This window comes from Homo sapiens, chromosome Y, assembly GCF_000001405.40.
Source record: "Homo sapiens chromosome Y, GRCh38.p14 Primary Assembly".
Taxonomy (NCBI): Eukaryota; Metazoa; Chordata; class Mammalia; order Primates; family Hominidae; genus Homo; species Homo sapiens.
The window spans coordinates 6,864,842-6,877,655 of NC_000024.10; the positions used below are offsets into that span (position 1 = coordinate 6,864,842).

Sequence of the window (12,814 nt, forward strand, 5' to 3'; positions counted from 1 at the left end):
TTTAGTTGTTATTTGTAGGCTTCTTTTATCCCTTTCGTAATTTCTAGATTCCTTAAGGATGTGGACCTAACTATTTTCAACAGCACATAGAGTAGTGCCCTGCCCTAGACTGTGCTTATGTGGACTCAATTGATTAGAATTGGTCCAGGCCAATTGATTAAAAGTTTTTCTACCTTTAAAAAATTTCTACCTTTAAAAAATTGAATCTAAGTTCTTTAAAATGAAGTTATTTGCTTGAATATTGACACCCTTCCAGTAAAGTTGTGTTTATCCATTCCAGAAAATGATTAAGGGGTCTTAATCATAAGGGTACTGAAATAAAGTTACCATGGGTGCATGTAATATAAACCCCGCAAAGACTGTTTACAATTCCGTGTGGGTGTAGGCAAAAAAAAAAGGGATTCAAATGTAAATATGAGTGGCACAGAAAACCTGTTTGGAGTCCATTTTATGCATCTGTTAACATTTTGAAGGCTGTGCAATACAATTTATCATCTTAAAGTTTATGAAGTGAAATAAATGACTTGTATATAACATAACTGCAATTCCCTATTTGAAGTTCCATTAATAACATCTCTTAAGAAAACAAATTACTTAAATAATTTTCAATTCAGTATATTATTATGCATATCACATAATTTTATTTAAAAATCATTTTCTATAGAATGAGATCAAAAAACCAGATTTTGATTGCTGATGTGGTGTGAAGTACACAACCAGTATTCCATATCCTAATTTGTTTTGTAATACAGTCTTCAAAAGTTTATCTTTTTAAATGCAAAGAAATTGTCATATAAACTTCCCTTCATTTGGTTCAGGTTTCAGTGATTGTATATGTTCATACATTTTTATTTTATCAACGATTTTAACTGATGTGTAAACTTCATTTTTTAAAAAGATTTGACGTAGTATAATTTCAGTTTTCTCTAAAAAGAAATATAGTCCCTATTTGCTTGCCAAATGGTGAATTTGTATGAGTAAATGAGCAGTTCTTACCTTATTCAAGAATACTCATTCATAATATGTTGTCTCAAATGATAGGAAAATTTAAGTTTCATTCAACACAAAGACATGAATGATTTTTAAAACATTTTATTGTCTACTATTGGTACATTTTTAGTTACAGAATTTGCTAAGTTAAGTGATTGTAAGCAAAAATCATTGTGTGCTTGTGTCATCCCTGAAAGCAACTAAAGTGTTTACTTCAGTTCCTGTCTCATATTCTGGTCTTTTAATCCTGAAAAAAATAGCAAAAGGAACAATTAAATAATTTAATTGTTTCCAGTGAGTACCATTTACAATACATGTATGCCTTCGGTTTTGTCAAACCAATGTACAACCACTTAAGTTGAACTCTATAATTTCCAAAGTTTCTTTGTTCATTCGTTGTCATTAGATATTAGGTGTCCATGAAGCCTTCTTCTACCTTTGGAACACTTAAAGCCTATTATTTTATAACAAAATAACAATTGCTACCTTTCTTTGAGTAATTCTTGCATGCCAGGTTCCAAGCTCACCATGCTATTTTATTTTTCTTAAAACAACTCTAAGAAACTATTATTTATACTCAAATTTTATACGAAAAGAAACTGAGTTTTAAAGAGTTCAAACTATCTGCCCAAAGTCACCTTTCCATAAATAGCTTTGTCAAGGTGTGAGCACATTATAAATCCACGGTGTTAATTCTTAATAAGGAGATAAATAAATGCATTTTCTATGCACAGAGAGAACATGTGCTTTAGACTAGAATAGCCAATGATAGTCGTCAGATTACTTGGGATTCAATCAATTTCCTTTCTTTTTTTTTTTTTTTTTTTTTGAGGCGGAGTTTCACTCTTGCTACCCAGGCTGTAGCTCAATGGCACGATCTTGGCTCACTGCAACCTCCACTTCCTCGGTTGAAACAATTCTGCTGCCTCAGCCTCCCTTGTAATTGGAATTACAGGCATCTGCTTCCACGCCCAACTAACTTTTTTTTTTCCCTTCGTGTTTTTAGTAGAGATGTGGTTTCACCATGTTGACCAGGCTGGTCTCAAACTCCTGACCTCAGGTGATCCACCTGTCTGGGCTTCTCAAAGTGCTGAGATTACAAGTGTGAGCCACCCCACCCAGCCTCAATCAATTTTCAAAAATTCTGCCCCATATTCTCTGTAAACATGCTCACAATTATTAAGCCATTTATAACATATATTATGATTTTTTAATTCAGAAGTTATCACATTTATACCTGGACAGAGGCTTGAAAATGATCTGATTTTGTCATTTTCCCCCATTTAAAAGAAACGAAAATACTCACACATTTGAAGTAACTTTTACAATAGTGCCTCCTTTTTGAGGGCAAAGCCAGAACTTGAACCTAGCTGTCCTGGCTGTCTATCCTGGTCATTTCCACCTCACTTTTCTCTGCTTCTCAGTAGTATATCATCAATAGCTTGTATAAATTGGAATTACAGTTGGATACATATAAGTGATAGATCACATAATCTTATATACGTAGAAATAAGATTTTATGGATGTGGATAAAGTTTTTTTATTGATTATTCCCATTCATTTGTAAGTGCTTCTTGTAATGGGAGATTCAGTCATAAATTGAGGTAACTTCTTTTTAAAAGCTTAATCATCTATAGAATCTCAGCACTAAAAAGGACTCTAACAGCATGTTTAGTTTAGCCTCCTCCAAGTTAGACTGAAAACTACTGAAAATGGGAAACCTTCGTATAGGTTTTTTTAAAGAGATTTCCCATCTACCTTTCATAGCTTGTTCAAATATATGCACTCTAAAAATTACCCACCCCATCTTATCTTAAGCCTTCACTGCAATTCTAGCCTCTTCTTGTGAGTCAAATCTTTGAAATGAAAGAACTGATATTCCCTTATTGCTGTTGCCCTTAAAATTAAGAGGGTTTAATAATATATTTTTCTATTAATGGGTTGTCATAATATACAGTCTGGTAGAAATTCAATAATAATAAAATTTAAACCTATCATAAAAACTGTGTTCTTAATTACCAAGCCATTTAGATAAATTTGTTTATAATGTAAAGATACAACATATTACTTGGACTAATAGAATCATAGATCTGTAACTACTACAACTCTAGACCCTGAGTTGTTGGACCCCTTAGAACTCTGGGGCCAACTTTGCTGCACCATTTTCACAGGATTTGCATTGTAGTGGCTTCAAGGTGTACTCACCACTTCCTCCTGCTTGGTCTTGTCTGTTGCTGGCCAAGCTTCCAGATGCAGATCAGGAAGTATGGGGGGCAGGGGCCGCAGGGGGAACATTGGAGGCAGAGGTGGCTGTGGCAGCAGGGGCTGCATGGGTTGCACAGGTGGCTGGGGCTGCATGGGCTGGTGAGGCTGTGGCTGAACAGGCTGGGGCTGGAAGGGCTGCTGGGCAGGCAGAGGGAGGTTTGGCTGATGGTGTTGGGTTGGAGTCATGGATTGCTGGCCAGGAACAGGCATCAGTGCTTGCTGGCGGACCCTGGGCTGCTGAGCTGGCACCACTGGGATGTGGTGATGAGACTGCAGGGTGTGAGTCAGGGGGTGCTGTTGGGACACCACGGGGATGATTTGGTGGTGCAGCCATCCACCCATGGGCTCGTAACCATAGGAAGAGTACTGGTGAGAAACAGAGATGCAGGTTTACCATTGGCTCACGTGACTCCAACCAGAGAAGCAGCAGTGTTGTCTTTGCCATTATGGCCATAGGAATATTGTATTTATCTTTCCTTTGCAAAAATTTGTAACTGTGTACACAGACATGATTTTTTACAAACTAAATTTCCCATTAGTGTCTGTATGTGGAGTACACATGGTATTTTCTTAAAATGGGAATTTAAATGCATGCCTAATATTTTCAGGGAATAAAGAACAAAATGTCTACATACTGGTGGTCTTATCATGCTCTGGTACCACTTCAAAGGGGTGAGCACCTTAAGAGAAAGATATATTAGAATCCATTTGATTTAATTTACTTTCATCCCATGCAGAAATTCACTGATGCGGTAGGAAATATAGACTCACTAAAGCAATCCTGTCAACATTGATAGCCTGAGAATGTGAGTTCTACAAGAGAAAGAAGAAGGTAAAACATTTGTTGGGTACTTCCTGTGTGTCAGGCACTGTGTTTACATCCATCACACACATTCTTCATCTTTCCTTATATGCTAGGAGGCAAGTATTGTTACTCTCACTTTTTAGATAAGGTCATGGGAAGTTAAAGAGATTCATTAACTTGACTGAAGTTACAAAGGGAGTAAATCTGTTTATTTCCATAGGTCCTGCTTTTCATTGTAAGAGCAAAGCAAACATAAAATTATGCCGCAATAATGTGACATAATGTTAATTTCATCTTTCCTTTGATGTCACAATGGGGAAAAAAGCGGTGCAAACACTGTCCCTCAACCTAAAAACACAGATTTTACTGATCAAATTTGTCAATCTTTTAGGTTTAACAGAAAACCTTGCCTCAGATTCTTATTAACATTTGTCAGCAGCTTGTGTAAGTAAATAAACTCACAGATTGTTACCTGAACCTATGAGAGAAGTAAGAATTTTATTCCTTTCTGAACAGTATACACACTTAGTTAACCTTAGGTTTGGGGATTCTTTATATGGTAATACAGCATGTAATCAATAAAAAAAATCAGTTACCTTGCTCATATTATACTTGACAAAGCAGTTTTTATAATTGTTAACTATATTATTCTCCAATATTTTGAAATGTGAATATTACAGTAATTTCCCTTGTCCAAATGAGAAAACCAGGGTTCCAAAGAGAGGAAATTATTTGCCCAAAGTTAGTAATTTTACCTAATCTTTACATTTTACCGGATGGGATAGAACCAAGCTGGTCAGTCAGAGTTGACTTTTTGCCCTTTCATGGAACCTTCCTGAGCAGTGGTTCATGAATGAATAAACTTACAGCCATATTTAGGAGGAAAGAGTCAATCCGAATGGTCAGGCAGGAGGGTGCTGGAGCAACACAGGCTTGAGGCCAACCATCAGAGCTTAAACTGGGAAGCTGATGGTAGGAACTGTAAAATTGGGACCACTTGAGAAACCACTTTATTTGGGATGAAGAATCCACCCACTATTCTTTACAGAGCCCAGGGGACTGCTAATGCAAACAGTGATCAAAATTAGTAAAGAGAAAAATTACCTCATAGCTGAAGTTGATATAACCAGGGTGCCCAGGATGAGGTGGTAGCTTTTATAGGGAGGAGGGGAGGAGAAGAGAAAGAGAGAGGAAGGGAGAGTGTGAAGGAAGGGAAGAGAGAGTAAGAGATTAAGTCAATATGCAATTGTTAACATTAAGAGAGACTAAAATTACTTTTAAAAAATCTATATAGTACAGAATATATTTGAGGTCTGTTTTTCGTTAAAACAAGTGTGCTATGTAGGAGAGGAGACTTCTTATTTTAAAGAGGTCTAGAATAGCTAAATGATTGTCCCTGGGGTTATAGTCTTAAAGTTGGAGACCTGGAAGCAGAAACCAGGACACATTTATTCTCCAGTGATCAAACAACATCCTTCTCCCACCCCAGTGCTGTCAATGAATTCTACCTTATCCTGTCTAACAGTTTACTTGCTGATAAAACTCATCCCATGTTGGGGAGTGAAGTATGTTTCTTTTACACGGTAAAGAAATATCAACAAGCAGTTGTCTCACAAATGTTCCCTTGTAGATCAGGAGGTGGTCAAGTACTGTAAGTATCTAAGGGATTTCTCATAATTGACAGGCAAAGTAAACAACACATCCATACAACAAAAGAAGCCACAAAAGAAACCACAAGGTGGAAATTAATGAATGCCAGAACAAGATGGGTGGAGAAAGTAGAAACATTATAAATCCAATGGAAAAATGAAAGAGTTTATTTAGGCCAATCTTTTTTATGATTCTCCCAGTGTTTTTATGGCAGAAAAAAATTTTTAAGTTAAAAATAAAAGGCCACATGAATGATAATCTGAATCAGGACTGTCTATCCTCTCAAAAGTGGAAGCCAAGTGTTTGGCGCCTGCCTTGTGGAACTCTGGTTGCACCCGGGGTCCACGTGAAGAAGAGAGACAATCATGAAGAAAATCTCCCTCAGATATTGACCTCATTTAGGACTGGCTATATTATATTATTTCAAAATTCTCACATTTCATAGGAGGGGTTTATTCACTCTCATCTGCATGTGAATGGTTTTATTCAGGTCCTATACCCTTTTGATCGATACCATCTTAGAGAGCAGGAAAAGGGCTGAATTCGTAATGCCGGGACTCCTGAGAAGACTAGGGATTGCCACAGTGCAGGATTTCAGGAAGGCAGAGCACAGAATCTTGGTTTTGTGGGTGAGAGAGGAAGAGAGGAGGTAGGTGTGGAAGCTTGCTGGCTTCTGGTTGTATCAACTGCTCTTTATGCCACCAAAAAGTATATGCAGGCTGCTTGGCATGCATATGATCTAAGTTCTCTGCCTTTATGCACCTGTGTCCAGACAGAGTGAGAGTGACACCCTGGTGTTTAATACATTTAAATACAAAATACATCACTATATATTGGGTGTAGGTGGGATCCTGGACAACCACAAGAAAGCCACATACTTATCAGATGCACCCAAAGGGGTAGGACTTCTGAGAATAGTCAAGATGTTTCTAGAAGTGGATTCCTAACACAGAAATCTTACCCTTCAAGTGGTAACAGCAGTAATATGTGGAGGGCAAGAAGATATCTGGAAACTTGAGAGGAATTAGGTTTTAGACCAAACGGGCATTTTGGTAATATTTTTATAAGGCTGATTAAGCACTTTCTCTGGAGACCTTTCAAGAGTCCCTTTCAAAAGCTTCCTCCAGGCCAGGTGCCGTGGGTCATGCCTGTAATCTCAGCACTTTGGGAGGCCGAGGCGGGTGGATCATGAGGTCAGGAGATCGAGACCATCCTGGCTAACATGGTGAAACACCGTCTCTACTAAAAATACAAAAAATTAGCGCGGCATGCTGGCACATTCCTGTAGTCCCAGCTACTCAGGAGGCTGAGGCAGGAGAATCGCTTGAACCTGGGAGGCAGAGGTTGCAGTGAGCTGAGATTGTGCCACTGCACTCCAGCCTGGGCGACAGAGCAAGACTCCATCTCAAAACAACAACAACAACAACAACAACAACAACAACAAAAAAACCTACAAAAACCAAAAACTTCCTCCATGTAGAAATGGGTGGTGATATTTCCAGGCTAATGGTATCAACTGAATCTCCTGGGGTGCTTGTGAAAATAGAGTCCTGGGCCCAACCCCAGCTGTACCAAATCAGAACCTCTAGTGGAGGCATCTCAGAAGCTATTTTATTTATTTAATTAATAGATTTATTTTTAAATTTTTGTGGGTGCATAATAGTTATATATATTCATGGTGTACAATATGATGTTTTGATATATATTTACAGGGTGGAAAGATTAAATGAGGCTAATCAATGGAACACTATTCAGCCTTAAAAAGGAATAAAATCTTGACATTTACAAAGATGCGAATGAGCATGAAAGACATTATACTAAGCAAAATAAGCTAGGAAGAGATAATCTATTTTTTCATTCCCCAAAGTGTTTCTTCAGCACAGATGTTTTGGGGCCTCTTAGCTCAAACTGTTTTAAACCTTAAAGTTTCCCAGCTGGGGGACAAATTCTTATTTCCACGTTTGTAAATTGGACACAACTTATGCAAAGAATGTTTTACTCACAGGCATGGCAAAAGCTGCTCCCACAAGGCAGGCAAACAAAATCCAGGTCCCCATTTCTTGATGGTTCTGAAATGAAAATCAGCAAGTGCTTTTCTCATCTCTTCTCAAACATGTGCACCATAAAGTGCCTTAAAAAACATAATCTGCATTTGTCTGTGGGTAGCAAGTAGGATATTCTTTGCAAGGTTAATTTTTCTTATTTGATTTCAAGTTCTCAGTCCATTTTATTGTTTTGGAGTCACAGTAGTTAGCATAAAATCATTTTTCATTTAGGTTGGAAACTGAACAAGTTGAGGAAAATAAATCATGTTGTTATGTAATTTGGAATGCCATATTCCTGTCTGTCTGCATGGTCCTGTAAAGCCATATAAGCTAAGTATAATTTTTAATTAATAATCAAAGGAACAAATTTGGCTCTTAAGGTTCAAGAGCCCGTCAAGGTAGGTATTTACCCATTACTACATAGCATTTTATTATTTTAAAATGAGGAGCTGAGAAATATTTCTTATATTATCCATCTAGGTATTGATATTGTTAAAAACAAAGACTGATGATTTGAGGGAAAAAAATCTAAGTTATTTGCCAAAACAGATTAAGAAATGACAGGGATTTCTAGCCTTATAGAGCTTCAGGCAGGTAAAATGTCTGAGCTCAGGGGGTCTGCATAGCAAAAGATGAGGTTAAACAGAAAGGCAAAGAAAACAATAATCTGTGAATTTATTGATTCTTCAGTAAGTTTTGGATTATTTATATCTCAAAGATTCTATTTTATTTCATGGTATCTTCCCTTTGATATATGTTCTAATTTAATTACTCTACAAATTAGAGATGTGAGATATGAATTAAAACTTGTTCACTTAAACACATGCACAATGCTTCATGGCTCAAATTATTGACTAACTTTAAAAATCTTTAAGTAAAAAGACATTAATTTTGGTAAAGACAGTGAATATAATATGTAGTAATGCTGATATGAGTACTACATTGATGTTGTATCCTAAATGTGTGTTATTAAACTTGAAATAATTTTTAAAAAGAGATAAAGTTTTAGATGATGGTTTTAGTATGAAATAAGGTATTATTTGATGTATTTAACAAAAAAAGTGTTAAAAGTAATAAAGATAGCCTTAAAGTATTATTTCAATTTAGTTTACAAGTGAGTTTGGCTTCCAGGAACTCCTTTTGGTTTCTAAAATTAAAATTTAAATACACATATAGACAAATGCTTTGAAGCATTATAAAGTAAAAAAAAAAATTACATAATGAGAGTCAAATTTAATTATAATCCAACAGAAGTAACTGATTCTTAACAGCATAAAGTATTAGAAACATGGAATTTATTTGCATCTATTAAATATGAATTACAGAAAAGAAGCAGAATAAAAAGGACACAAAATAATATGTAAAATCCACATACCTTTAAATATATTCAGAGAAACTTTCTTTGTGCTACACAGGGAGGCTTGGTCCTCTAGATTTTCTTTAACTATGAGCTCAATTTATATCCTTCAAGGTATCTACAACAACCAATCAGATTTGTGAAGAAAAAATGTGTTGAATATGACTAAAAATTCCTGTATCATCATAATTTTTTTGCAACCATGGCTAAATATAAGGTAGTATATTGTGATTAGTCCATATAGTTCTTCATTATAGTCAATAATATGTTTAACAGGCAAAAGGAACTTCATTGCACTGTTTTTAAGTCAGCAAATTTGTAGCTTGCACATGCCAAAACATTCAGACTTATGTTTAAGAGGATCTTATGTCATTGCCTGTGATCGATTAAAATTTTAAAATCACTACAACTGTATTTTTTGCTTTCCTTAAAGGTATGTCCTTTGTTCCCTGTTGCTACTCATTTGTCACCACTCTGGTGTTCAGAAAAGCGCCAAAAGTCTCTCTGGTGTGATCTGCAACTATTTATTATCTAAACAAATTCAAGGTTATCATAGTAGCAAAACTTTTATGCATGATCTAAAAGGCAAGACAAGAGGGATTTTACACATTGGTCAGCACACATCAAAATATATTTAAATACTTAGGAACACCTATCATAAGGCATATTGCCCTGGCTACTTCATCCTACATAGCGTATCAACCTTTCTAAGTATGATGGCCTTCTTTGCCCGTGTACTTCTAGCCCATTTCTGCTTTCTTTCATGCATGAAACAGATTTTCTTTTTCTTTAGTGTCTCTTTAGTTGCATTGTTTTCATATTTTTAATAAGCTCTACTTTGCCTAAGCAAAAACAAGAAAAGTCTGTCCGTCTCTGAGGACTGTGATCTATTAAACGCATGCTTTTTTATAACACTTTCATCTTAGTGAACCACAAACATTTATGATTTTATTTTATATCTGATCAATTAAAAATCTAGCATCGAGAGATAATGAATGATGTCTATCAATATTAAATTAATAAAGGAAATAGTAATACCCAGATACAACTAATATTATAGCTGAATCTCTTTGAATACTTAGCTAATATTTATAAACTTTTTGCATATGAATATTATACCATATACATGAGCCAAATTTGAAGAATTAAATTCAAGGACAAAATATGTATGAAAATCATGTGTATAATAGTTAATGCTATGATATAAATGCATGTGGGTTCACCTTACCCAAGTTTCACCAAGGGACAACCTTCAAGTTATTTAGCCTGTCTGAGCCACAGTTTCTTCATATATAAACTGGGAACAGTAATAAAACCCTTTTAATAGAATTAGCATGAAAATTAGAGAGAGACATCCTTAGTAAATGGAAAGTTATTACCTGTCCTAATTCACCACATGGCACTTAGAAATTTTTTAAAGATGAAAATAAGATTCTAGGATGATGTGGGGATATTAGCAAGAAATGAATAATTTTTATGAAGAAAGGTAAATCTTTCAAGCTAAAAGGAAGAAAGGTAAACCTATCACCTTCTACTTCTTGCTATACAGAAAGATGTAGAAGATTATAAAGGGCAACACAGATGAGTTAAAGTGAACGTAGAATATAGTTCTAAATGCCAGCTGTACCCAAGATAGAATATAGTTCTAAATGCCAGCAGTACCCAGGGTGTATTTGTATTTATGAATATATTTATTGGTGAATTGTATATTGAAGGCAAGAATACGCTTTGAAGGAAATTGTAACACTAAGTTTTAAGAAAACAGGCTTTAGCGTATTTGTAGAGAAGAGGTGAGAGAGTGAGGGAGTAAAAGGAGAGAGAAGGGAAGTATAATACATATTCTCCTTCAATTTATTTTATTTTATTTTATTTTTATTTCATTTTATTTATGTTTATTGAAGTTCCTAAAAGGATTAAGAAATTTTTCTACAAAATTATGGGTGAGCTCTACTAAAGAAATGATTGAAAACAAAAAGTAGAGGTCTTTGGCTTTAACAATGTATTTTTTTATGTTGTCTCATATTTTTGAATGATAAGAAATTATATATTTGTTCAATGTAAACAACAGAATTCTTGTTTCTGATTCACTGTCGAGAATTATCCAGAGTTTGATGACCAGTATCACAAAAACAGTATGATTCTATTTGTTTTTCCCAACTGAATATCCTAATTCATACAGTCTTAACATATGGATAACTCTGCTTGAAATCTCTCCATTTAGGTCTGCCTTAAACATTTAAAAATTATCAGCTGTTTTGGAAGAGAGGACAAAATTTCAGTAGAAAATTTTTTATATAAACAAAAATTTCATTTATGAATAAGTTGAATTTTAAAAAGAAAATATGTTATTGTATTGACTACTTCCTGAGGAAGAGGATCAAAATAGCTGATTAGATATTGCTAATATGTACAACTTCCATGGAGAGAAAACCCAATAGCCAGTGATATTCACACTTTAAACACATTGTCTAAGAGAGAATCCTAGGGTTGAACAGACAAGTGATAAGAATAACTGAAAGCACATAATAAAAGGGCTTAAGGTAGCTTGCCCAGCCAGAGATTAAGAGAAGCTCCTAAATATGGAAAAAGAGTAAAAGAGAAATCCCCAGGGTTCCACTCTTCTGCAAGAGTGTTATTGACTATGGGAGATACCCTTGATCCATGTAAGCCTCAGGCCTAACATAGGGAGAGACCTAGACATTGCACAGAGACATTGCTCCAGAAAGGGAACACATCTAGAATCCCACAGACATGAGCCCAGAGCAGCTACAGCTTGGCACGATTCTAAGAATCTACATGCTGGGATCTACTCCTGCCCAGAGGCCAGAACTGAAATGGCTGCTGCCACTGGGCCAAAAAGGGAGAGGAGAGAAGGGACACTCCCACAGACCACTAGGACAATCCTTACCCTATTGCTACAGCATACTGTAGGACCAGGGTGTGATAAGTCAACAGTCCTCACAACTTCTTACTCATGCAACTCGCCAGAGAGAAACCCTGCCCTTTCTACTCATGGGTTCATGGCACCATCTTGAGAATTTAAGGTTAGGATGTGCTCCACACTGGGGCTGAGTCCAAACAGACATGGCTGCAGCTACCATGTGACCAAGAAAGGACAGGTGAGACCAGACTGTTAGACAAACATAAGACAATTCCCACCACTCTGCTGTGGGCTACTGTGAGACTAGGGCATGAAAAGTCTTAACTCCCCACAGCTTCTTTAGCTTCTTACCCATGCTGTTCCACCTGAGAGGCCCCTCTCCCTGGTGGTAGGCTCACAATGCACCAACCATATCATCCCACACTAGAGCATTCCTCCAGTAATGCCTGTCTGTCACAGCCAGTGTGCGAAGATACTACCAGGGCCCTAAAGAGAAGCCCCAGACCCAGGGCTCTAATATGTTATCCAGGAGCCCGGAAATATCCTGGCCCAGCCCATCACCAATCACATCTGATCACTTCTGCCAGGGTCTGTAGTCAGACGGAGCCAATCTATTGATATTGCCACAGATGACACCCATCCATTCATGCCACCAGCAAGCTAGAGAACTATCCTAACCAATACATCACAGCTACCAGCAACACCAACATGGGCTTCTGGTTCCCTATGTGTTCCTCCACCACTGGTACTGCTATAACATATATCATACCAGCTGGACGGGGACCTGAGAATCCACCTAGCCACCCAGATCATTGCTCTCA

At 36.5% G+C, this 12,814-nt stretch overlaps 1 protein-coding gene across 2 annotated transcripts in view; it reads right to left on the bottom strand.

Annotated features, from left to right (window-relative positions):
* Window positions 1,077-12,814, bottom strand: part of AMELY (amelogenin Y-linked) — a 45,835-nt gene continuing 34,097 nt past the window's right edge. Inside the window, exons 1-7 of one of the 2 annotated variants that reach the window (NM_001364814.1) lie at window positions 9,131-9,186; window positions 7,714-7,779; window positions 5,165-5,212; window positions 4,027-4,068; window positions 3,891-3,935; window positions 3,196-3,621; window positions 1,077-1,237 (exon numbers count right to left, since the gene is read on the bottom strand). In NM_001364814.1, coding sequence (NP_001351743.1) covers window positions 1,232-1,237; window positions 3,196-3,621; window positions 3,891-3,935; window positions 4,027-4,068; window positions 5,165-5,212; window positions 7,714-7,767 — 621 coding nt within the window. In that variant the 5' untranslated portion in view covers window positions 7,768-7,779; window positions 9,131-9,186 and the 3' untranslated portion in view covers window positions 1,077-1,231. Of the gene's footprint in view, window positions 1,238-3,195; window positions 3,622-3,890; window positions 3,936-4,026; window positions 4,069-5,164; window positions 5,213-7,713; window positions 7,780-9,130; window positions 9,231-12,814 lie in introns of those variants that run through there. The other variant, NM_001143.2, reaches the window with a different exon arrangement.